At 48.4% G+C, this 27,052-nt stretch overlaps 1 protein-coding gene across 5 annotated transcripts in view; it reads left to right on the plus strand.

Annotated features, from left to right (window-relative positions):
- The window catches only part of SDK1 (sidekick cell adhesion molecule 1), a 967,749-nt gene that overhangs the window by 669,705 nt on the left and 270,992 nt on the right, over positions 1 to 27,052 (plus strand). For all 5 annotated transcript variants that reach the window (NM_152744.4, XM_047420038.1, XM_047420037.1 and 2 more), the window contains 3 exons: positions 510 to 612; positions 3,413 to 3,589; positions 16,230 to 16,366. In NM_152744.4, coding sequence (NP_689957.3) covers positions 510 to 612; positions 3,413 to 3,589; positions 16,230 to 16,366 — 417 coding nt within the window. The remainder of the gene's footprint in view (positions 1 to 509; positions 613 to 3,412; positions 3,590 to 16,229; positions 16,367 to 27,052) is intronic.

Below are 27,052 nucleotides of genomic sequence, written 5' to 3' on the forward strand. Positions count from 1 at the left end.
CTTGGGGGAGGTGGGCAAGTCACTGCATCTCTGAGCGTCCATCTTCCTTCCTGAAAACTGAGAATAGTAATATTTAGCCCTCACAAGAGTGTCTTGAGGAATAAACACAACTCAAACAAAAACACTTGACAGACTCAAAAAGTACCATGCAGACGCTAGAAATGACTAGAATGATGGTCATCTAGGGAGAGAATCTAGGTTTTATTTTAGAGCCTAGAACCTCATCCACACCTGCATGGGGTGGTCGGCATTCAGTTACTTCCATGGTGTTTGAGGTTAAAGCTGATTTAGGAGGGGTGGGTGGGTTGACAGACTGCTGCAATGGTTTACTTATTTGCTTGTTTTTAACTCCCCTAGCATTTCTGAGAGTGATCCATTTACACTCATTCTGCCAAGATGAGAGAAAACTCGGAGGTTGTGATGTCAGATGACCAGGGCATTATCCCCCCTGAGGGCAGAAACTGTCAAACTTGTCATTTCGTCTGACTCGTGACTTGTGTTTTTTTCAGATCGGACGTCCATCGTCCACCCTCCTGAGGACCACGTGGTGATTAAGGGGACCACGGCCACGCTGCACTGTGGTGCCACACATGACCCCCGGGTTTCACTCCGGTCAGCACAATCAGTTACAATGCTTTGGGGCTTGTTGATATTCTGTGAGTTTCTGAAGTGAAGTTGAGATGAGGAGGAAGAATTGGGGGAACTTTTGATTTCAGCAGCAGGTCCCTGATTACGGTATCTTCTGGTTGTGGGCACCGTCATTAATCATGCAAATCCCATTTTCCACTCCAGCCTTATGTGTTATTTACAGTGAGCTATGTTCCACTTCATGACGTTAATGCTGCTTTTCATGATTTTTCCTGCCAAGGTTAATACACTATCTGTAAAACGTACTTGTCAGAGGCTGATACTCAATGAGAGAAAAATCCAGGGGGATCGACTAGGATTCAGCATTGTTTACACGGGGGCTGTGCCACTCCCGGGAGAGTTCTTTACTCTCGGGATAGTTTCATCGTGAAATGGAGGGGGAGGGAGTCCTGTGCATGGGACAAAGTCACCCACAGCCCCCAGTGCACTAATAGGAAGGTGCATGCCAAGAGGGAGGCCAGATGTGAGGGTTCTCTTTTTTTTTTTTTTTTTTGAGACAGAGCCTTGCTCTGTCACCTGAGCTGGAGTACAGTGGCATTATCTCAGCTCACTGCAAGCTCCACCTCCCGGGTTCACACCATTGTCCTGCCTCAGCCTCCCGAGTAGCTGGGACTACAAGTGCCTGCCACCACTCCCGGCTATTTTTTTGTATTTTTAGTAGAGACGGCGTTTCACCATGTTAGCCAGGATGGTCTCGATGTCTTGACCTCGTGATCCACCTGTCTCGGCCTCCCAAAGTGCTGGGATTCCAGGAGTGAGCTGCCGTGCCCGGCCAAGGGTTCTCTAAAGGAATGCCGACATCCTGTCTTTGTTTAAATTCGGGCCAGGAAAGTAACTGCAAAATATGAGACTCCAGGTGAAGTTGTGGTGGCAGACAGGTGGGCATCAGTGGGGAGCTGTTCCCTGAAGAGCAGCCACCTTCAGGATAATTTTAAATTTTTGGAATCAGCCTTGAAAATAAAAAAGGAAATATCCAGTCATCAGAGTATTTCCACTCTGGCCTTAGCCCAGAAGGGGCACAGTGCATGAGTCGAATGGGCAGACTACTCAAGATGCCCTGCTGCTTTCTGGGGCCTCTCACCCCGAGCAGAGGGGACAGCTGTGGGTGCACAGTCAGCAGCGGGACGCGGAGACTCGGCTGTTCTCTCGCGCTTCTTGAGCGGGTGTTTGGCCAATTGTAAATTTCCATGTCGCCACCCGACTCCCTGGGGTTTCCCAGGGCTCAGAATCCAAATTTGGTTTAGGTACGTGGGTGCCGAATGCAAAACAAAACAAGCAAAACAAAAACCAGCAAGTGAAAGACGACCTAGGACCCCCCTGGGGGCCACCCTGGAGACGGTCGTCAGGCCTCGGAAAGAGCTCCTTCCTAAATGATTTGGAGTATGACTTCAAGGAAGTCTGCTTTTCTGCTACTCTGACAGCTCAGAAAGAACCCCCTCGGATCCCTGTGGTTTCGTAGTAGCTTGTTATATGTGATTAAATTGGAGGCCCCTTCCTCAGATGGAACTGGGTTACTCGCTCTCGGGGTGCCCCTCGTCCCAGGGTTGCTCTGCCCTGAGGAGCGCCAGGCTGTAAGTGACCAGCCAGCCAGATGCGATGCCCCGGCGTGAGCAGTCTATCCATCTCCCTCTTGTGGAATCAGCCCTGTTCTATCTCAGGGTAATTGCTGAGAAGGTAGTTTGTAAATGTCTGTGCTTATGACTATGAAGTCTTTAAAGAACTGGGCACATTTGCAAAACCCGATCAAATTATTGTGGAAAAGAAAAACAGCACTTTCATTCCATATAGCAATGAGTGCTGGCCCTGCCCGTGGTCATCTAAAGACTGGGCAGGCTCTCAATTGATTGTGTATTTGAAAAGAAAAATGTGCTCAAATTGCTACAGATAGATTAAATGAGAAATAAATGCAATTTTAAGGACCATCTGCCAGAATGGTCACATTTTAAGAAAGTGTGTTTTTGAAGGGTGATTTTTTTTTTCATGAGTTGGGCAATTCCACTCTGTAGATTTTTTTTAAACAGTCGTTGCCTCCTGTCCAGACAACACTCTTGTCCTCCAGGAGCATTTACCGGGGCAGGAATGTTGGGTGCAGTTTTCATAGGTGACAGGTATGCCCGTGGTTCTACAGACTTCTCATCTCTAAAACACAAGGTCAGACAGGCAGGGCCAGTCATTTTCATTGCCCTGTTTGTAACCTCAGCATGTGTTTTTGTATTATGACCAAGATTTCTGGTTGCTTTTCTTTTTTTTATTATTTTTTGGTTTAATTCATATGCCATAAAATTCACTCTTTTAGGCCAAGTGCGGTGACTCAGGCCTGTAATCCCAGCAGTTTGGGAGGCCGAGACGGGCAGATCACTTGAGGCTAGGAGTTTGAGACTAGCCTGGGCCACATGGCAAAACCTCATCTCTATTAAAAATACAAAAAAATTAGCCAAGCATGGTGGCATACATCTGTGGTCCCAGCTACTCAGGAGGCTGAGGCACAAGAATTGCTTGAACCCAGGAGGTGGAGGCTGCAGTGGGCCAAGATCATGCCACTGCACTCCAGCCTGGGCCACACAGCAAGACTCTGTCTCAAAAAAAAAAAAAAAAAGAAAGAAAGAAAAAGAAAAGAAAAATCACTCTTTTAAAGAGCACAGTTCAGTGGTTTTTAAAGTCCATTCACAAGATTGTTAGTTGCTTGCTTTTTAAGAGACAGGGAAGGAGCAGTGATTCTGTCACTGTGGGGTTTGTAACTCAAGACCCTTTGCTTGGCCCACAGCTACGTTTGGAAGAAGGACAACGTGGCCCTGACTCCATCGAGCACGTCTAGGATCGTGGTGGAGAAGGACGGGTCCCTTCTCATCAGCCAGACGTGGTCAGGCGACATCGGTGACTACAGCTGCGAGATTGTTTCTGAAGGAGGGAATGACTCCAGGATGGCCCGGCTGGAAGTGATGTGAGTACTGAGACGTTTGGTGTTAGCCAGTCCGCGGTTTTCTCCGTTACTGTGCCCCTGTTAGTGACTGCCACTTCACAAGTGTCACGCCCGGCTTGTGTCCCAAGTCAGCGGTCAGAGGCCAGCGCATCATGCTGCATAACTACATATATGGACAAGGTTTTTTTGTGGTTTCTTTCAACTTCGGAATTGAGAAGTTTCGTTTTTGGTGTAGATGGTGTGATCATTGGTTTTTATTTCAGTTGATCCTTTTTGTCATATTTTTCCCGTGGACACCTTATCCTGATAGGCCCTGTTTACCACTCTGCGCTTAAGTAGCAAGTTCATTTTTCCACATAATACCCTTGAGAGCCTCCAGTCCATGAGAGATGCTGGAGTGGGACTGCTGAGGCGAGGTCGTTCCCGTGAAAGCCACCTAGACTTGGGGTTTCAGTGAGTCCCAGCTGCCCCTCCGTGGGTAAATAGATACTTTAAGTTAAGTCTTGTGAAATCTTGAAAACAGAAAGCAACTGCCCGTTACTTCCAATCTGGACCTTCCTGGGGGTTCCAAAGAGCCCAGGCGGGAAACCGTCAATCTCCCCCGTCTCTGCTCTCTTTCTCCCTCCACTCCCCTCTCTATTCATGGAGCAGGAAACCAAAATACCTGCTGACACATTTTATTTTTCTGACATGTATTTATTTGCTTTTTAAAAGTTGTGCCATCTCAATATTCCGTGAGTGCATGAGTACAAAAATAAAACCTGAAAATAAAGAATCCCAACCGAGCACTCATCAAGGCAGTGGCCAGCTCCAGGGACACACCCAGCGCATCCGTCCCTGGTCATCGTTTGACATGCTGGGCCTTTCGACAAAGGCAATCTTGAGAGATTTTTCCTCACTGGACCCTGCCCCCTTTGATCCAGGAAAGATTCTGTATTCAAAATCATTCCCCACAAATAGAATTTGAACACTCCGAGTATAGGAGCCGTGACTCATTGATCCCTGAATCCCAAGACTCCAGCTGAGGGGATTAAAAATGAAAAGAATGCTTGCTAAGTGCTAAGCATGTGGCTTCTGTGTCTGCCACACGCATGTGGAAATGAGTGAACTCACAAACAGCTTTCCTGTAGTCCCTATTTGTGGATATAAAAGGTTCACGATGTGTAGCAGTCAGTCCGGAAGGCCCTGTGGTGTCATCAGTACCTGAAAAACATCCCATCCCAACTCCTGTTCTGTCTCCTTCCAGGATGACCCCTTGTTCTCTTTAGATAGCAGAGGTAATTGTGGTTAGTTAGGAAGCGGCAGGAGTCCCCATGGCTCTACAGAATCAGCCGGCGGCAGTGGTGCGGGGGTCCTGGTGCTGCAGCTGCAAAGCTGCCACGTAGAGGGTCCTCCAGAGAATCACTGAGGGTCCCGGGGCTGAGGCTGCCACGCAGAGGGTCCTCCAGAGAATCACTGAGGGTCCCGGGGCTGAGGCTGCCACGCAGAGGATCCTCCAGAGAATCACTGGGGGTCCCGGGGCTGAGGCTGCCACGTAGAGGGTCCTCCAGAGAATCACTGAGGGTCCCGGGGCTGAGGCTGCCACGCAGAGGGTCCTCCAGAGAATCACTGAGGGTCCCGGGGCTGAGGCTGCCACGCAGAGGGTCCTCCAGAGAATCACTGAGGGTCCCGGGGCTGAGGCTGCCACGCAGAGGGTCCTCCAGAGAATCACTGAGGGTCCCGGGGCTGAGGCTGCCACGTAGAGGGTCCTCCAGAGAATCACTGAGGGTCCCGGGGCTGAGGCTGCCACGCAGAGGATCCTCCAGAGAATCACTGGGGGTCCCGGGGCTGAGGCTGCCACGCAGAGGGTCCTCCAGAGAATCACTGAGGGTCCCGGGGCTGAGGCTGCCACGTAGAGGGTCCTCCAGAGAATCACTGAGGGTCCCGGGGCTGAGGCTGCCACGCAGAGGGTCCTCCAGAGAATCACTGAGGGTCCCGGGGCTGAGGCTGCCACGCAGAGGGTCCTCCAGAGAATCACTGAGGGTCCCGGGGCTGAGGCTGCCACGCAGAGGGTCCTCCAGAGAATCACTGGGGGTCCCGGGGCTGAGGCTGCGAGGCTGCCACGCAGAGGGTCCTCCAGAGAATCACTGAGGGTCCCGGGGCTGAGGCTGCGAGGCTGCCACACAGACGGTCCTCCAGAGAATCACTGGGGGTCCCGGGGCTGAGGCTGCCACGCAGAGGGTCCTCCAGAGAATCACTGAGGGTCCCGGGGCTGAGGCTGCCACGCAGAGGGTCCTCCAGAGAATCACTGAGGGTCCCGGGGCTGAGGCTGCCACGCAGAGGGTCCTCCAGAGAATCACTGAGGGTCCCGGGGCTGAGGCTGCCACGCAGAGGGTCCTCCAGAGAATCACTGAGGGTCCCGGGGCTGAGGCTGCCACGCAGAGGGTCCTCCAGAGAATCACTGAGGGTCCCGGGGCTGAGGCTGCCACGCAGAGGGCCCTCCAGAGAATCACTGAGGGTCCCGGGGCTGAGGCTGCGAGGCTGCCACACAGACGGTCCTCCAGAGAATCACTGGGGGTCCCGGGGCTGAGGCTGCCACGCAGAGGGTCCTCCAGAGAATCACTGAGGGTCCCGGGGCTGAGGCTGCCACGCAGAGGGTCCTCCAGAGAATCACTGGGGGTCCCGGGGCTGAGGCTGCGAGGCTGCCACGCAGAGGGTCCTCCAGAGAATCACTGAGGGTCCCGGGGCTGAGGCTGCGAGGCTGCCACACAGACGGTCCTCCAGAGAATCACTGAGGGTCCCGGGGCTGAGGCTGCCACGCAGAGGGTCCTCCAGAGAATCACTGAGGGTCCCGGGGCTGAGGCTGCCACACAGACGGTCCTCCAGAGAATCACTGGGGGTCCCGGGGCTGAGGCTGCCACACAGAGGGTCCTCCAGCTTTTGTGTACGCATGGGGCAGCCAGGTTTCCCCCAGCCCCTGCCTTCAGGCATTGGAGCCTACGACCCTGGGTTCTTTCTGCCCTTCATGAGCCCCAGCCATCCACTGTCTCTGCGGTTGGGTGCTGTCATCCGTGGGCTTCCCCGGAGGTCTCCTGATCATGCACCCCTTAGCATTCAACGACAGTAGCACTTCCTGCGGTTCAGTTACCAGGATGCTGCCTGCAGTTCTTCCCTGCGCGCAGCTGATCCTCCTGGTAGCACTGATCACGCTGCAGAGGACGACCATATCTTCATGGCTCCCTCTCCTCCTGGAACAGAAGCACCTTGGTGGCACTGTTTTGAATTTTGAGTGCCTGATGTAGTATTTGTTGTATAACCGTTGTTCAATAAATATATGTTGGTTGGTTGCTGCCTGCGTGCATGCATGAAGGAATGAATGAATGTGTGTCTGCCTTGGTGGCCCATTGGCGGGCCTCCTTCTGTTCCCTACTCGTACCTTGATGCTCACATGCCCTGGTTTCCCCACCATGGGTATACAAGTAAGCTCAGGTCGTTCTACCAAAACCCAAACAGTGAGTACCCAAAGCCCTCATCCAGCCCTGCTCCTGCCTCTTTCCTCCTTCCTTTCGGGTCTCAGACAGAGGATTTTTTTTTTTTCATTTTGATAATATAGGAGGATATGGCCAGTGAGTTCCTAGGAGCTGTTGTATTATGCACATTTTTAAAGCTACCTTTGAGAACCTTAGATCATCCATCGTTGGTATCAAATAAATAAGCGTTAGCAGTTCATAAAGACTCTGTCAGCAGAAGCCAAATTGCATACTTCCAATATAGCCCATTCTTTTTATTCTGCACAGTTTTATGGTCTACTGATTTACATGTCTTCCCTACTATTTGCTTATTTGATTTCCTCTAAGTAAAATACATTTTTCAGCAAATGTTGCTGTATGTATAAAATAATAGGCTTTCTCTAACGGTAAAACATCTCATCTCTAAATATAGAAATCTCTGCAAATTTGTGATTCAAACTAATTTAAGTACAAACTGGTTACAGAACTGATTTGGAAGACAGTTGTTCCTCGTGAATTGTTAGTGTCACGAAGGCTCCTCTATCCCAAACCTGGATGAATTGGGAAAGGTGTTCCTTCATGGGGTGTCTTTAGATCCAACAGAGCTTGACTCTACAACAATAATGGCAATAGAATGATAATAATAATAACCCGTGATTGCAGGGCATTCTGTCCTTCTTGGGTAACTTTCAAACTGAGCTCTGTAGTGTTTCCATCATTTACTCAGATAACCAAAAAAAAAGCAAGAGAAAAATCTCATATTGCCAAAGGGAAGGGACTGAGAGGTGCTTATGACTAAACAATGTCCTTCAGAGGAGCCTGAAAGCCTGTTTTCTCCTTGCCTCTCCACTTCAGTTAAAAGCTGCTTCATTAAATATAGAAATTACGAGCATCTGAAGTGAGCTTTTCAAAAATAGACCAGCCGTTGGCCTCTTCTCACGTCTGTTTGCCCCGAGTTTTACACTTAGCACTAAGCTTCACCTCATTGAGGCTGAGTGGAGGGGCGGCCCCCACACCCACATCACACCCACAGCAGTCCTGATGGGGCTGCTGGACAGCAGTGGGGCCAATAGGAGCAAAGGGCTGCACAGGAGGCCCTGCTCACCTTTCACTACTTGTGTGACTTTGGACAAATCCCCTCACTTCTCAGCTTCTGCCTCTCACCTTGTAGACTGGGCATGGTATCATTCATCTCAAAGGACGGCTGTGAGGGCGGCACCCACCCGGGTTTGTAAGATCCTGTTGTGGAAGCCAGTTGGGGAGGGATGCTCTAAGTCCTAGCTCTTCGTGCTTTCTTACCATCTTATACTAGAATGCTGTTCCCCCCTTTCCTAACAGCACCCTGCCTCCTGGGGCTGGGAACTTTCTAGCCCTTTACCCTGCATTATTCTGACTACATTCTATGACCTTCTGACACTAGACTCGAGATGTGTCTGTTTGCTGTTGAGCCCTCAATGCCTGGACCAGTGCCAGGTATACAGTAGGAACCTAATAAATGTCTGGGTAAGCCTCACTCCACCTACTGAGCTGAAATGAGACGGTGTCTTTTGCCCTACTGAGGAGGACCAATTTAGGAGGGCTCTGCCTTCATCCCCCCACTGAGAGAAGAGGCTTCTAAACTCCAGATGGTTCCATGAGGCAGCCTGTAAATTAACAAGACAAGTCATCATTAAATGCTGGTCACCCCTTGTTTTAGTAGCGTCTTTGCTCTAGTTTTCTAGTGCCATGGGGACAGGAGCCAGTTTCCAGGATGACTTCATATTCCCCAAAGCATCTTCCTGTATTGAGCACACCAGAGGGACCAGGCTCCTAAGGCCTTATGGATTGATTAATTGTTAAATCATTTAAAGACCCAATTAGCATTTCATCTCTCCTCCTGAAATCAGAGTCTAATTCTCATGGGCCTGGAGTACAGAGAAAACCCAATTTACAGAGCTGACTTGGAGACCCTGAGGCATTGGGAGAGGTTTCTTTCTATAAAACCAGTTCTGACAGAGCCCTCGTAAGGAGTGAAGAATTTAATACTGTTTCCCCCAGAGTTATCAAGCCCTGTCATCTTCATCCTCAGAGTGAAGTCAAAGAAGATGGGTTTGACCAAGTCATCATTTGTGCATTAAAGGGCCAATGCTTTTTATGTAGAAAAAAAGTACTTATCTGATCCTCTTCTGCCAGAGCAATTCCCCCTACAGCCACAATTTCACCAATTGCTTTCTTTCGAGTCTTTTTCAAAACTGTTTTTCTCACACACACCTTGCTTCATCTCTCTCCCGTACTGTTGGGTTTCCGTTACTGTTGTTGTTAATTTCTGATATTCCTGAGGTGTCCTGTGCCTGACGGTGGTTTTCCCCCTATTCTCTTTCAATTACAAAGTGACTCAGCACTGGGCTTCGCTTCCATTGTTCTCTGGGACCTCTTCCATTTATCAGCCTCTGTGCTTATCACTGTCTGTGAGTCACTCTACTGATCATTTATCTCCTTTCAAAGCTGGCAGAGTAATGCTTCGACGCAATCTATCCCCATTAGATAAGATTTTCTGAAATGGATTCAGAATATATTAAAGCCTCATTTATCTGTTATTGATGGGTTAGTCAAGGATCTCACAAAGCTTCATTTTCCAAATAACCAAAACTTATCATTTAAAGAAATAGTGGCTGGCCGCAGAGGCTCACGCCTGTAATCGCAGCACTTTGGGAGGCCGAGGCAGGTAGATCACGAGGTCAAGATTTCAAGACCAGCCTGGCCAAGATGGCGAAACCCTGTCTCTACTAAAAATACAAAAATTAGCCGGGCGTGGTGTTGGGCACCTGTAATCCCAGCTACTCAGGAGGCTGAGACAGAGAATTGCTCGAACTCAGGAGGCGGAGGTTGCAGTGAGCCGAATTGCACCACTGCACTCCAGCCTGAGCTACAGAGCGAGACTCCATCTCAAAAAAAAAAAAGAAAGAAAAAAAGAAATAGTTTATATTTCCAGAATAAGGCACGCCATCTTCTATTGCATGCCTCAGGTATTGCACGTTTGTTTTTGTTATTTACAAACTGGAGGTTTGCAGCAACCCTGTGTTAAGTAAGTCTATTGATGCAATTTTTCCAACGGCACCTGCTCACTTAGTGTCTCTGGTCACATTTTGGGAATTCTCACAATGTTTCAAACTTTGTCACTATGATTGTATCTGTGATGGCACTCCCTGATCACTGATCTTGAATGTTACTATTGTAATTGTTTTGGGACACCATGAGCCACGCCGATGTTAAGATGGCAAACTTAAGCTATAAATGCCTTGTGTGTTCTGACTGCTCCACCAACAGGCCATTCCCTGTCTCCCTCCGTCTCCTTGGGCCCCTGTATTCCTTGAGCCCCACAGTGTGAAATTTGGCCAGTTAATAACCCTGCAAAGGCCTCTGAGTGTCCATGTGAAAGAGAGGGTTGTACGTCTCTCACTAGAAAGCAGACTGGAAATGATGAAGCTTAGTAAGGAAGGCATATCGAAAGCCAAGACAAGACAAAAGCCAGGCCTCTTGCCCCAGTTAGCCAAGCTGTGAATGCAAAGGGAAAGTTATTGAAGGACATTTAAAGTGCTCCAGGGAACACACAAATGATAAGAAAGTGAAACAGTCTTATTGCTGATGTGGAGAAAGTTTGAGTGGTCTGGAGAGAAAAATCAAACCAGCCTCAACATTCCCTTAGGCCAAAGCCTAACCCAGAACAAGGCCATAGCTCTCTTCAGTTTTGTGAAGACAGAGAGGTGAGGAAGCTGCAGAAGAAAAATTGGAAGCTAGCAGGGGTTGGTTTGTGAGATTTAAGGAAAGATGCCGTCCCCATAACATAAAAGTACAAGATAAAGCAGCAGGTGCTGATGGAGAAACTTGGTAAGTTATTCAGAAGACCTAGCTAGGAACAGTGACGAGGGTGGCTACAGTAACAAGAAATTTGCAGTGTAGACGAAACAGCCTTTTATGGGAAGAAGATACCATCTAGGACTTTCCTAGTTACGGAGGAGAAATCAATGTCTGGTTTCAAAGCTTCAAAGGGCAGGCTGACTCTCTTGTTAGGGGCTAATGGAGCTGGTGACTTTAAGTTGAAGCCAACACTCATTTACTGTGCTGAAAATCTTAGGGCTCTTAAGAACGATGCTAAATCTACTTTGCCTGTGCTCTGTAAATGGAACAGCAAAGCCTGGATGACAGCTCTTCTGTTTACAGCATGTTTTACTGAATATTTCAAGCCTACTTTTGAGACCTGCAGCTCAGAAAAGAAAAATTCCTTTGAAAATATTACTGCTTATGGACAGTGCACCTTGTCATGCTAGAGCTTTGATGGGAATGTACAAGGAGATGAATGTGGGTTTCATGCCTGCTAGCACAACATCCGTTCTGCAGACTGTGGATGAAGGTGGACTTTTGACCATCAAGTCCCATTATTTAAGGAATATATTTCATAAGACTATAGTTGCCATGGATGATAATTCCTCTGATGGATCTGGGCAAAGTAAATGGAAAACCTTCTGGAAAGGATTCACCATTCTAGATACCATTAAGAATGTTTGTGGGCTGGGCGCGGTGGCTCACGCCTGTAATCCCAACACTTTGGGAGGCTGAGGTGGGTGGATCACAAGGTCAGGAGATCGAGACCATCCTGGCTAACATGGTGCAACCCCATCTCCACTAAAAATACAAAAAATTAGCCGGGCTTGGTGGCGGGTGCCTGTAGTCCCAGCTACTCGGGGGGCTGAGTCAGGAGAAGGGCATGAACCCAGGAGGCGGAGCTTGCAGTGAGCTGAGATCGTGCCACTGCACTCCAGCGTGGGCGACAGAGCGAGACAACATCTCAAAAAAAAAAAAAAGAATGTTTGTGATTCATGGGAGGAGATCACAATATCAATATTAACAGGAGTTGGGAAGAAGTTGATTCCAGCCCTCATGGATGAGGCTGGAGGGGTTCAAGGCATCCACGGAGGAAGTTGCTGCTGATGTGGTGGAAACAGCAAGAGAACTAGAATTAGAGGTGGATCCTGAAGATGTAGCTGAACTGCTGCAATCTCATGATCAAACTTGTCCAGATGAGGATTTGCTTCTTATAGATGAGCAAAGCAAGTGGTGTGGGACAGCATCTACTTTTGGCAAAGATACCGTGAACATTGTTGAAATGGCAACAAGGCCTTAGAATATTGCATGAACTTAGCTGGTAAAGCTGTGGCAGGGTTTGGGAGGATTGACTCCAATTTTGAAAGAAGTTCTACTGTGGGTAAAATGTTATCAAACAGCATCACATGCTACAGAAAAGTCTTTCATGAGAGGAAGAGTCCGTTGATGCGCCAGGCTTCACTGCTGTCTCGTTTGAAGAAATTGCCACAGTCCCCCCAGCCTATAGCCCCACCACTCCGATCAGTCCACAGCCATCAACATCCAAGCAGGACCCTCCACCAGCAAAAAGACTGTGACTCACTGAAGGCTCAGATGATCACCTTTTTTAGCATGAAGTATCTTTAAGGTGTGTACATGTTTTTTAGACATAATGCTATTGCACACTTAATAGACTGCAGTAGAGTATAAACAGAACTTTTATATGCACTGGGAAACCAAAACGTGTGTGACTTGCAAATTGCAATATTCACTTCATTGTGGTGGTCGGGAACTGAACGTGCAGTATCTCTGAGACATGCCTCTCTATCACAAGGCCCTTCACATTATGAAACAGGTGATATTGAACACAAGAGATATTATCAAGGGGATTTTCACAGAGGGGAGAGACTGAAACTGGGAAAAATCAATATTTCCTTCCAATGCTTGAGTCCTGTGATTTACCAAAATATCACACTTTGCCCTGGGCCATCACACTGAGTGTGACTTTGAGCCAATGGAGTGACTTCGGGGGACAGTCGCAGAGAAGGACGTGTGCGTCTCTGCACATCACGGGCACTCAGGTCCTCGGGCACTGCCAGGCGGGTAGCTCTTGCCGCCTACACTAAACGCCTCAAGACTAGTTTGCTTTCTAAGTTTTTAAGTATTTGTTTTTAATCTTTTAAAAAATCTTTTTACATCCCTCAATCTCAGGCTGTTGCGACCGTTTTTGCTGTTGGGTGTGCCTGCTTCGGGTAGATACTTCTCATCTGTTGCTTGTGGTCTGCTGGCAGGGGGAAAATCTGAAACCACTCTGACTAGAATCACATCCTAGCTGAGAGGGGGCAGAGGGATGGAGGGACATGTGTGAGCATATTCCAGGGACTGTGAGAGCTGACCCCTGGAGGACAGAAGCTGCCCCGTGAGTAGCCTCCATTTAAGTGAGTGTCTGCAAAGCACTGCAGCCTCAAGAGAAAGGCAGTCCACCCACCTGGCAGATGGGTTGTTTCTGTGTGCACTCTCACCTTGGGCTAAGAGAAGCGTGATTTGAAATCAAGTGCAAGAGGCCGCATTTTCACCTCTGTGAGAAAGACAGACTTTTAGAATTTAGAATTCGATCAAACATAACCCCCTTGAGGTCATCAGAGAAAGTGTGCAGAGACACAGCAGCTTGTCAGGGGCCACAGGTCACCCATTTCTGTTGTCTCCCAGGAGCCTGTTCACATCTTATAGCATATGGTCACCTGGCCCGAGAATGTCTGTTTTGCAAGGTTTGTCCTGAGCTGGCTGTACAACCCTCTCCTGCCCTGGCTTCTCTCCAACTCCTACTGTGTGTGTCTGCAGAGCTGCCTGGCTCCTCGAGCCTCTAACCCACCTTTAGTTTCACGGCCTATCTCCCATCCTGACTATTACAGATGGTCATCTGACATTGTGTCCAGTCTGTGAGAACGGCTTCCAATGAGCTGCCCTTGGGGTCCCAGAACCAATGTCAAAAAGACATCCCAGAAATTGTGAACATAAGCTCATTGCTGGTCTCTCTGTGCAGGCCAGTGCATTTTCCCTCAACCCTGTCTGGCCTCTCTGCCACCCAGGGCAAATCCTGCATTCCTACCACTCTCACCGACCCCAAGCCTCCCAGAGTTGAATCACTGGCTGCATGGTTGAACCTAGTCCCCAGCCCCCTCCACTCCCCAGAGGTCAGAAGGCTGAGCCGTCACCACTGGCTCAAAGCCCCAACCCTCTTATCCCCATGACTGGCCTTCCCAGCATGGCCAGACCCATCCTGGAAGGATCTTGGGGCCCACCATGAGTCCACCCAAGAAGCATAAGCTCAGCTGTGGTCTGAGAGGTTCACCATGGTGGCGAAAACCGTCCCAGTCACTCAGGAAACTAAAACAGTCTGGAAGTTCCATCTCAGATCAGATACATTCTTTATGATAAACCATCTTATTTGGCTATATCTGTCAGATTTATTCATATTTTCTTTTCAGGTGGGACTTTTTCAACAACTTTGGTTTGGTTTCAGACCACACCGATTCAGATTGCAGCAGGGGGAATAGGAAATGGGGCTTGGGAGGAGTAGAATTGATAACTGGCATTTCCGCCTCTAATGGAGATTCGGTTATTGGAGAACTCAAATAGAAATGACAGCTCTGCCCAGGTGCAGTGGCTCATGCTTATAATCCCAGCACTTCGAGAGGCCGAGGTTGGGGAGGATCGCCCAAGGCCAGGAGTTTGAGACCAGCCTGGACAGTATAGTGAGGCCCTGTCTATACAAAAAATAAATAAAAGAAACAAACTATTCCTTTTCTGATTCAAAACTTAATTCACAATTAAAGAGAAAACAAGACGACATCCTGGGCTCGCATTTATTCTTTATCGCACTAATGTACAATGTAGTTGCAGTCTACATTAGAAATATTAGTATGCTTATAAATGGTGCGTATGGGTTAGAGCTGTTTCTTGGGGAACTGAAAGCTCAAAACAGCTTAATAAATTTCAAAATGTAATGAGTACATTTTTAAAATTAAAAATATCAAGTATAATTATGGCTTTGTGTTCTGACCTGTGTGGGTCAGCAGTACCTGATGTCTGAGAGACCAAAAGCTGGTTAGCGGTGACCCGGGTCACACTCAGCATCCCCTCTTCCCGGCACTGCCTGGCAGCGTTTATGGAGGGGCAGCCATCCAGGACAGCCCCGGAACAGGGTCCTGCTCCGGATTCAGGAGACGTGAAGGTTCAGTACAGGGCCCGGGCAGCTCATGGTTTTAAGGTTGTAGACTCAGCCTTGGTAGAAACCATGTAGTAGGGTTTTGCAGCTTTGTCACTGGTTAAGTCCCAGTAAAAACTTTTTTTTTTTTTAACTAGTAACTTATTTAAAGAATTTATTCGCTTTAATTGCATTTCCATTTCATAGCCTTGCTGATGTGTTCTTTACCATTTCCATGGGATTTTAGTGAGTGGTTTCACCACACTTCCTCCAAATCCCCATAACTCCAGCAGAAGACATAATGACAATGTAACCTCATGCTGTCAATAAATGCGGCAACTGTGTGGTCTAAGAATACATGCAGGCATTTTCGCTCATAACTCTAAATGGCTAGTGTTGGAAACATTCCCGTTACATGTATCGGGACTTTTCCTGCATATGTGGCATTTCCATGACCAGCTTCTAGTTGTAAAAAACAAATTGTTGACCACGTTTTCTCAATTAAATAATGTATGTGTAGGCCGGGCATGGTGGCTCACGCCTGTAATCCCAGCACTTTGGGAGGCCAAGGCGGGTGAATCACAAGGTCAGGAGTTCAAGACCAACCTGGCCAAGATGGTGTGAAACCCCATCTCTACTAAAAATACAAAAATTAGCTGGGCATGGTGGCAGGCGCCTATAATCCCACCTACTAGGGAGACTGAGGCAGAGAATTGCTTGAACCCAGGAGGCGGAGGTTGCAGTGAGCCGAGCTTGCATCACAGCACTCCAGGCTGGGCGACAGAGCGAGACTTGGTCTTATAAAAAACAGAAAATAATAATGTATGTGTAAACGTCTGCGTCCCCTCCCCCTATTTATGTGACAGCGTCAGTACTTGTTTTGGTAGCTAGCATAAGGGTTCCATGAAATTATGACCAGAAAACAAAGTAACACTGTGAATAATGAAGCTGGGTTTTGTGTGTCCTTTTCTGGGGGGAAGAGAGTTAATATTTGTGTTTGGGCATATTTTATGTTATTCATTTCCCAAACATGACACAGCAGGACGGTCTGCTGTAAGAGCTCAGGCTCACCATGGATTCTGACATGTGTTTTCCTCTTTTTCCTTTTCATCCCATTCAATTCAAGTGAACTGCCTCATTCACCTCAGAACCTCCTGGTCAGCCCTAATTCTTCCCACAGCCACGCCGTGGTGCTCTCTTGGGTCCGGCCCTTTGATGGAAACAGTCCTATTCTTTATTACATCGTGGAGCTCTCTGAAAACAGTAAGTAGCAAAATGAAACTGTCACCATGGACGATAATCAGATTTTTGTGTGTGCTCTTAATGTCCTTAACCTTTACTTCTGGGTCAGACCCAAAACAACTACTAAAATGCTGTAATGCTTTACAGGGTTTCAAACACAGCCTGCCCTTTAGGAAAGAAAAAACCATGCAGGACCTGAGAGAGGGAAGGGAAGAAGTCCTTAGTTAGAGGGGCTCTTGGTGGAGAGTGGATTTGGGGCCCCATGGGAGGGCTGTGCACACAGGGCTGCCCCGCACAGTGTCACTCCCAGGGCGAGCTGGAAATGGGTTAACAATGCCTGCCACCTGGGTGACTTGAGAGTTCACCGTCGCCGCCACTGCTCATGTCTGTGGGAGGTTTTCTCCGGTGTAGACGTGGTGTCAAGTGTTCAGCACCCTCTTCCTGACTCACCTTCCAGGACCCCTCTGCCCATTTACCGCCATCCTTGGAACTCTTCTACATGAAACATGCTCCTTCCGTGGGCCACTCACAGCCTTGGCTCTCCTCCAGCCGCCAAGCCCTCCTTCCCTTCTCTTCCCAGCTGGCTGGGTGACGTGTGCCCCGCCGTGTGCACCCACTCACGCCTCTCCGCTCTCCCTGGAATCTCTTCCTGGGAAATCGCATGCACTCCTGTGATTTTAAGTGGCATATTTTCCTTGATGACTCGAACATTTGTATCCTTCACCCAGGATTCCAGGATCACTTATGGGGCCCAGCAACTTGACATCTGTATCGGGTTGTCTCACGGCCTCTCCAGCTTAACTTCTTCCCACTGCATCCATCTTTTTAATGTTTTTTTTTTTTTTTTTTTTTTTTTACCTCACTCCTGCAGCCACCCAAATCTCTGCTCCCAGCACCCCGCATTTCTATATTCCTCTGCCAGAACCCTAGGAATGGTCCCCAATTCCTTTCCCTGGACCCCAGCCCCCACCTCCACACCCCCTGCATCAGCAGTCCTATCAGTCTGTTAACTAGGATTCTGATCCCTTTCCTCTCTGCCTCAGACCACTGGTACCTCTCGCCAGGACCACTGCAGCAGCCTTCCAGCCGGCCCTGTTTCCTCATCCAAACCATTCACCTGCCAGCAGCAACACTGATCTTCCTGAGATATACCCAGACCAGGCCACTCCCCTGTCCACGTCCTGCAGGGGTTCCTGCTGCGTGCAATATAGAAGCCAAATGCCTCGCTCCCTGTGCAGCCTCGGGTCACCCTGGGCTACTGTGCTCTTTCTCCACACCGGTCAGCCACACGGGACACATGAAACTCAACACGGATTTTATGTTGACTCCCTGAATGGGCCAAATATCTCATCTCATGGCATGTTCCTTCCCCTGGAAACCCATAGAGCTAGATTGTCACCCTTCATGATAGATAATCCATTACCTCCACAAAGAAGCTCTCCAGCACGCCAGCCCGATTTCACCTTTTGTTTTTTGTTTGTTTATTTTGAGATGGAGTCTTGCTCTGTCGCCCAGGCTGGAGTGCAGTGGCATGATCTCGGCTCACTACAACCTCTGCCTCCTGGGTTCAAGCGATTCTTCTGCCTCAGCCTCCCGAGTAGCTGGGACTACAGGCACCTGCCACCACGCCCAGCTAATTTTTGTATTTTTAGTAGATATTGGCCAGGCTGGTCTCAAACTCCTGGCCTTGTGATCTGCCCACCTTGGCCTCCCAAAGTGCTGGGATTACAGGCATGAGCCACCGCGCCTGGCGTCCAGTTTAACCTTTTAATACGTAAGCTGCCGGCCTCCCTCTGTTATCCTATCTGTATTAGTCGGTTTTCACACTGCCAATAAAGACACACCCAAGACTGGGCAATTTACAGAGGAAAGAGGTTTAATGGAGAACTCACAGTTCCACGTGGCTAGGAAAGCCTCACAATCATGGTGGAAGGTGAAAGTCATGTCTCACATGGCGGCAGACAAGAGAAGACAGCTTGTGCAGGAAAACTCCCCTTGTACTAACCCTCAGACCTCGTGAGACTTGCTGTCAGGGGAACAGCACAGGAGAGACCTGCCCCCATGATCCAGTTACCTCCCACCGGGTCCCTCCCACAACTCATGGGAGTTCAAGATGAGATTTGGGTGGGGACACAGGTGACCCACATCACCCATCATTTATTCCAGATGAGGGTCTCCTTCCCTGAGCCTCCCCCAGGCAGAGCCAGATGCAGGTATCCTGGCTGTTAACACGATCCACTTTATTCGGCCTGTGGTTGTCTCTGGATGATACTGGTGTTCTAAACGGGTCCCTGTTTTCAGGACACCTAGGAGTGGTGCACTCTCGGGTACCCTCCCCTGAAACCCAGCTCCCCGTGGGTCCCTGGTGCTGCTCACTTTTCTGGGCAGATTCAGCCTGAGTTCTGCCGTGGCTCTTCCCAGCTGATGTCAGCCTGTACACGCCCCCAGCAATTATTGAGATAACTCACTTTATTTCTCCTAATTACCTTTCTACACCCTCGCCCTTCCCTGGGGGTTCCCTTCTGATAATACTGCATGTTCACACCACAGCCACACAGTTTAATCCCCATTTCATAGCTACGGGAATGGATGTGCAGAGGCTGTAAGTCACTGTCAACTGCCCAGGGTCACATGGCGATGGGAGGGGAAGATGGGATCCCTGTGCTGTCTGACTCCAGAGCCGGTGCTCATGACGAGTGTCAGGCATCCGCAGAGGAGCCTTCGGAAGCAGAGTGTGCTGTCCTGCACTACAGCGGGGCTTCAGGGAGAGGCCACACTTGGGCGTTGGTCTGTGTGGACGTGGAGGAAGCCACTCTGTGAATCTGAAGAACCATTATTTGAGTTCTGCACCACGCAAACCAGTTCACCGAGGGAAGGCCCAGAGGCAGTATGTTATTCCGGGTCTTAGGCTTCTAAGGTTACACCTTCCAGTCCTGGGCACCACCTCGGAGTGAGGCCAGAGTCCAGGCCCTTCTCCCCCTTGCAGGGGCATCTCTGAGGCCGGAGTCCAGGCCCTTCTTCCCCTGCGGGGGGCCTCTGCAACTCCCACTCGGGCCTCTTTCCTCCCAGAGATGGGGCAGGATAGAAACCAGCGTGTGTGCAGACGGCCATCTTAGCTTCCATTCAACGGCTCTGACCGAACGGGGAAGGCCAGGGTGTTACTGATTCAGATAACTTCTGAGAGTACAGAAGAGTTTCCTGAGGATGGCGTGGCCATGCTGCCTGTACGTAAAACAGGACTTGACAGTGATCTGGACGGAGAGAATGGGACAGGGGAGAGCTCGTGTCATCTGAATTCTGGTTCGCATCCACCCTAAGGACAGCCCCCATCAGGCGCTGTCGCCTCGGGCTTCAGGACTGTGTCTCCTTTGTCTTCGTGCTCCTCATTCCCTGCACTTAGTACGTACTCAGCAAATGAGGTGAAATTCATCTCTCCAGTGGAGTCCTCTTGTGATGCACTGAAAATTACAGTCATGGACCGTCTTCCAAAACAGAGGCATTCTACCTTCCCCCGTTTCCATGAAAGAAGGCATGGCTTTGAGATGCCTGGCCAGCGCTCTTCTCAGCTGATGGCATGACTGGCTCCTCCAGCCAGTTAGCTTGCCTCCATGAGAAGCAGGTTTCGTGTGTAACTATCCAGCCAGCCACCTACCTGTTACAGCGGTGAAGCCAGCTGGGCATCTGCTCTGCACTCTGCTGGGTGCTGGGTGCAGAGCTGACGTGATCAGTGTCCACTGCGAACAGCAAGGAGACAGTCAGAGGCATCGATGCAGCCTCCACGTCGCACGTTCCCGGCTAGGTACGTACATAGTGATGTGACTGTATAGAAGGCAAGTCAGAGAAAGTCTTCAAAGAAGATGTGACATGAGACCTGGGCCAGACGGGCGACGAGGGACAGCATCAGCAAGGACCCCTCAGTGCCAGGCCCCCAGGCTCAGTGGGAAACAACTGCCCGTGAGATGGGGCTGGGGCGTTGCTGGCGGCGTGTATTGGTGTTACCTGGGAAAGTTCTTCCTCCTTCTTGGTGGCTTGGATCAAATATCACTTCTGCAAGTCCCATTACGCCCAGGCAGAAATGGCTTTTCCCTCCTCAGGGCTCCCTTGCTGTTCTACATGCTTCCCTTTGCGCACCTGCGACGTAACTCCTGGCTTGTGTCCATCTCCTGGCAAGACTGGGAACCCCTTCAGGGCAGGTGGGGTCCCTGTGTTGGTCCTCTGTGCTGTGACACCAGCACAGTGCCTGGCACACACAAGATGGCTCTGTAGGTGTCCAGCTGCTTAATTTCACTCAGAAGGGGACAGAGAACGTCAGTCACCCATATTAGCCTCTGGCTCTCCTGAAGCTGGCCGACGTTCCCAGCTGTCTTTCCTTCAGAGCCTGGAGTGTGGGTATTGTGGCATGCAGAATCTAGAGTGGGTACCATGGTTGCCTCCTGCCTGTTCTGATTTCCACTGTGTGAAGGAAGCCCGTGACCTTGGCTGAAGCAGCCTGTGCTGCTACCAGCTGGTTGGTCCGTGTCTTCCTGCTGTGGCAAATAGGAAGAGTACCACCATCATCTGGGCCAGTGGTCTGGTTTTTATTTTTATTAGCAACAAATGCCCTTAAGAAGCAGCTGAACATGCTGGCTAATTAGAGCCAGAAAGAACAGCTTAGCAGCAAGTGCACTAAAATGGAAATTGCACTTGGCCTCCACTCAGCGTGTGCAAGTGGTCAGCACTAAATAGCGCCATCTACTAGGTCTGTCCCTCCGGCTACTTGGGAGACACTCCACAGCCAGCTCCTCCTGGCAGGCTGACTGGGATGCCATTCTCCTGGAAGCCGGGGATCCTGCAGGGGCCAAACCCACATGGTTTAGTGGCCGAGGCAGGCACTTGATAGCCTCTGCCCTGACGACATTCCTGCCACTGCAGAAGGGCCTCTTCCGAGCTCTGTGGAGCAGAGCCTGGGGCTTGAACTGAGCCTGCACCCATGTACGGGACTCAAGGTGCATCTCTGGATGGGAGATACACGTGGCCCTCTGCAGGCATGCCAGGGTTTGCCTCTCTGAGAAGTTTGATGGTTCTCCTGTCCCAGGTGCCTGTTTAGTAAGCCTGGGACTCAGAGAGGGGCAGTAGTGTCCTAGGCCTGGGTCAAGGCACCCACCTGGTGGATTGAGGAGGGCAGAGGGTCAGGCCAGGTGGCGGATGAGGGAAGCCTGGGGGATCCCTGCATTGAGAGAGTGCAGGGATTCTTGATGGCTTGACAGTGGGGACCCTGTGACCAGGCTGAGAATTCTGTTGAATAATGAAAGCATTTGGCCCACTCTCTAAAATGCTTATCGATTATGATCAAAAATGATCTTTCTTTGAGATTATTATGATCCTGTGGAGGGAGACTGTCAGGTAAGAATTGTGAAAGACTTTGCAGTGTGCCATAAAAAGGATTACTGAGTGTCTCATCTAGCGCCCTTCAGGGTTATCTGATTCGATAGGGACCCGCGCTTTCCATCGTCTTTGGGCTACTTATCTCTGTAAATTGTAGAAATCTTATAGTAGTGCACTTTGAGTAATGCAAATTTCTTTTCCAAAGAAATGCAAATAAATGCAAATTTTATCCTGTAGAATATAAATATGGCTATTGCTCTGCAGATACTGACCCGTTTTGCATCTATTTATAAATTCATTTTTGCACTATCAATATGTTGTGGGCTGTTCACTTTCTCTTTTGATACAGTTGAAACGTCTTACTGGTTCCCTCATAAATTAATGACAACTAAAATCTTTGATACATGTTGATTCTATCGTTGCATTAGAGCCGTTATTTTACCTTCTTAAAAATTTATTCTTTCACATGAGTGAGTCGGCATTGCACAGTGTTAGAAATGGAGATTTTCGTTTAATGCAACAGTTGCCACCAGTTTCCACGGCAACCTTGATATTTGGGAGAGGCCATCCTAGTTCTCAAACTGAGCCTCTGCGTGTTTTCCTTGGGCTGGACAAAGGCGTCCCATGGCTGAAACAGAAGAATGGTGGCCTTCTACCAGTTATCAAGAAAAATTAAGTCTTTTTCTTATGATTTTTTTTTCAACCTTAACACCTGCTGTTGTATGTCTTGTGGTAAATGCTTGCAGGTAACAAACATATTAAACATTCAGAATCCTTCATTCTACTCAGTCCTACGGTTAGTTTTTTAATAGGATGAGTGTTCGTAATTGTGATTCCCTATTATACCTTGTAATATTTAAATTTAATTAAAATGTAAAATACATTTGTACTTTTTATTATTCTAGTTATGCATGCTGATTAATAAAAATTTAGAAATCCCTTAAAGCACAAAGAATAAAAACGATCACTACAGTCCCACATATGTTGAAAGCCAGCCCTGCACCCAAGCCCTTGGTCCCTCCTCCAGCCCTTCCTCCAGGACTTGGCTCCCTCTTTATTTCCTCTCTGTGTTCTGTCTTCAAAGCTCTCCCTCTCTCCTGGCTTCTTCTGCCTCAAAGGACTGAGCTCTGCTAATTACCTGCACCTCCTCACTTCTCACGCATTCTATCTACTCTTCTCTCCTGAGGCCATATTGTCGTTGTTGTAAAGGACAGAGCCAGTGAGCTCCACTGAGTCCACATCCCCTCAGCTTCTCTGCAAGCAATGCTCTTGATCACTCTCCCCACACAGACCTCCTTGTTCCCAGGACTTGGCTTAAGTCTTTCTCTTCATTCTTCCTTCTTATTTTCTCCTCTCTATCCATTTTCTCTGACTCATTGAAGGCTCTATTTCCCCTCCTGCCCCTAAAATGTTGGCATTCCCTGCTTTGTCTCACTCACACACTGGTCTTCTTATCACACATGCTTTTCTAGGGATCTCATGTTAGTCCATGGTTCACCTTTGACCCACACACCATAAGTCCCTCATGTGTATTTCTAACCTAGACCTCTCTGCTAAGCCTCAGATTCTTGTAACCAAATGTCTTCCACACATCTACACCTCCATGTCCCAGGGCTTATCAGACTCCAACTCTAAAATAGAACTCATCATCTGACCCCAAAGTTGTTCCTCTTCCAAGTTAGAGATAATGTCCAGGCTGGGCGCAGTGGCTCACACCTGTGTTCTCAGTACTTTGGGAGGCCGAGTCAGGAGGATCACTTGAGGCCAGGAGTTTGAGACCAGCCTGGGCAACATAGCAAGACCCCATATCTACAAAAAATTAAAAAATTAGCCAGGTGTGGTGGCTCATGCCTATAATCCCAGCTACTCAGGAGGCTAAGGTGGGAGGATCACTTGAACCCAGGAGTTCAAGGCTGCAGTGAGCCGCGATCGCACCAAGGCACTCCAGCCTGGGAGACAGAATGAGACTTCATCTCAAAAAAAAAAAAAAAAAGAGAAAAACATAATGTAATTCTTGACTCCTTCACCATTAATTCTCTCCAACAAATCAATCAATAAATTTTATAGGGTTTACCTCATGCATTTTTATCAAATCCACTGCCCTGCCCTTCTTTGTTCCTGCCACCACTGACCCTAACTGGCTGTTGCCCATCACTGTGATCCATGGATCTGGGATCCTCAAATCCATCCTCCCTTGAGCCACCAGAGCGAGCTCAGTAGTACAGGAACCTCACTGAGTGGTTTCCCCTGCCTGAAGCCTTCCAGAGGATCTGCAGAGAACCCACCGCTGGGGCTGGGCAGGAAGGCTTCAGGAAGCCTGGTACTGTAGACATGGCCCATGTCCTCCCTAGGTTGCCAGCCCTACTTCTTCCGTATAGAGGTTCTCGTTCCCTGAAGAGGGGATTCTAGGCTTCTTAGCATGGTAGCAGCACTGTTTACTATCTGACCACCCCCTGCCTCTCCGATTTATCTCCAGCCACTCACCATTCTGCTTTCCTTACTTCAGCAACAAGGCATTCCTCCGGATTCCCTGGGCACACCAGATATTCAGTGCCACTGCACCTTTGCTCACCGAATCTGGGAATTCTCGCCCTGATCCTGTCCCCCTCTGCCTTTGCCTGATCAGCTCTTACTCAGCATCTCCTTTTAGGCATTGCCTCTGGTCTCAAGGTGCTACCCCATCTCCTCCCCTAGGGGTGCCACACCCACCCCCTCCCCTGGGAGCGCTGTCCCCATCCCCTCCCTTGGGGGCGCTGTCCTTATCTCTTCCTCTACTTGCGTTGTCCCCATCCCCTCCCCTGGGGGCGCTGACCCCAACACCTCCCTCCTGAGTTGCCTCAGCAGTGCTGAATCAACCAATGGGCAAACAGCCTTTAGGGCACCAGCAAAGGCAAGACAGCAACACTAATGCAACTATCTAGAAGGCAATCATTTGAATAATCTTTCTACTCCAACTACACGAAGATACCCTCCTGTGTCTTCATTCAGGAGGTTGAGGGTTCTGAGTTTCGGGTCTTCTGAGGGTTGTTTTAGTTTGTGTTTCGACTGCTAGTATTCTTGAACCCATTCTGCCAAGTCGGTTGGCTTTGAGCACTTTCTCTGCTATGATCTGTTCATTTTCTTTGCCCCATTTATCTATCCAAGGCCTTAGGGATTTTTTTTTTTTCTGTCATTTGTAACAAGGATTTTTTCAGTTTGCTTTTACCATTAATGTTTGTATATTACTTTCTGACATACAGAAGTGTTTGACTTTTACGTAGTTAAATCTATTGATGTTTTCCTTTGTCACTTCATTACTTTTGTGTTTGGATATTTCAACACTCTCAAGCCTAAAATGAGTATTCTTATAGGTTTTTGCCTTGTTTATAAAGGTTTAATTTTTAATATATTTAACTCTCTAATTTTTCTGGAATTTAGGTGTGTTATATACTCTGGCACACTACTTTTCCTTTCTTTCAAATGATCCATTTTCCCAACATGATTTATTAAATAATCTATTTATTTATGGTGTCTCCCTCTTTTTATATTCAGAGGACCTGTTTATACAAAAGTCTGCTTGTGGATTATTTAGTTCCATTGATTCATTATCTCTTTTTCTGCCAGTTTTATAGTATTTTAATTGCTTTACTTCCAAAAGGTGTTTTAATAACTGATAAAACAACTCTCTTCAACTTTTCAGAATTTTGTTATTACTTGTCATCATTTATTCTTCCAGAAAAAACTGAAATTATTTTGTTTCAAAAGTAGTCTCATTGCATTTTTAATCATGTTAAACCTATAAATTGTTTTATGAGAAGTGACTTCTTAGTAATTCTGGTTTTCCGTCCAGAAAATAATATGCATCCCTATTTATTCAGCTGTTTAGTGAGGTTTGCAAGTTTATACCCATAGGCTGTATACTTTTTTGTCAAGGTTGTCCTGAGATTTTGACTCATTGCTACTGTAAATAGCAATTTTTCCCCATTTCGTCTTCTAATTAGTTATTGTAGGAACATAGGAAAACCACTGATGTTTAGATATTTATTTTCCATTCAGCCATATTCCATATTCTTTTATTATTCTAACGACTTTTCCATTGCTCTTCTTTGCTTTCAAGGTAGACGATCATATCTTTTCCAAATAATACAAATGTATTGTTTTCTTTTTGTTTTTCCTATCTTGCTGTGTTGGTTGGAATAATTTTAAATAATTGGCATAGTAATGTCTCTTGTGTTTTTCCTGATCTCAGTGGAATGTCTACTAGGATTTTACTGTTATGTGTAATATAGATTGTTTTTTATTGAGATATAATTTGTATGTAACAAAATGCAGGGAGCTTAAGGGAGTTTTGACAAATATATACAGCCATATAGCCCACACCTCAAACAAAATACAAGTCATTTACAATACTCCAGAAAGTTCTTCCTGGCCCTTTCTAGTCAGTCTAACCCCTTCTTCTGACTTCTGTCACCATAGATTAGGTTTTCTTGTTTTTGAACTTATTGGAAATTGTTACGGGATCTTTGGAGTGTCGCTTTTCCAGCCAGAAACCTCTGTGGCTGGTGGCGGTTTTGTCCGAGTTCTCGTCTTGTATCCAGGAAGAATAAGGTTCACAGACAAATGGAGGGTGAGGAAGATGAAGAGGAGCTTTATTGAGTGTCCGGACAGCCCAGAGGAGCCCCGCAGTGGGTGGCTGCTCTCTGTAGGCAAGTCGTCCCATCGTCTCTGCAGCTCTCAGCAGAGAGGAGGCCTGGAGTGGAATTTAGGTGTGTTATATACACCTCTGCTGGCAGCTCATCCCGACAAGTGTTCAGCTGTCAGCAGAGAGAAGGCCCTGGAGAGGATAGTAGCTTCTCTCTGCGGCTGGTCGTCCCAGCATCTGCAGCTCTCAGCAGAGAGAAGGCCTTGGAGAGGTTGTTCAATGTCTGCAGCTCTCAGCAGAGGGTAGCTCCTCTTTACAGCTGGTCCTCCTGTCATCTGCTCAGCTCTGGCTGAGCCCAGGGTTTTTATGGCCTTCAGAGGGGAGGAAGTGCATGCGGATTGGTCAATGGGTGACCATGAGTGGGCCTGGAAAAGGCACCACAAGTTCCCACTCCAGCCAGGGGGACTGGCAGCCCTGCCCCCAGCCTCCAGGCCCTCACTGGCCTGAAGGTGGGGCCTCACCGGAGACCCACCTTCTTCTGCCCAGGAGTCTGTCTGCCTCCTGCTGCCATTCATGGCACTCATGCTCGCCCTGACTTTGCCCCCAGATCAGAGTGGGTGCCAACAGCAGGGAGCAGCCAAGCAGTGAGAGCAGGCACTTCCAAGCCTGCGAGGGCAGGGGGTCTTCCTGGGTCCCCAAGAGTGCAAGAATGCCTGAGTCTG

The sequence above is a fragment of the Homo sapiens genome, chromosome 7 (assembly GCF_000001405.40).
Source record: "Homo sapiens chromosome 7, GRCh38.p14 Primary Assembly".
NCBI classification, from domain to species: domain Eukaryota; kingdom Metazoa; phylum Chordata; class Mammalia; order Primates; family Hominidae; genus Homo; species Homo sapiens.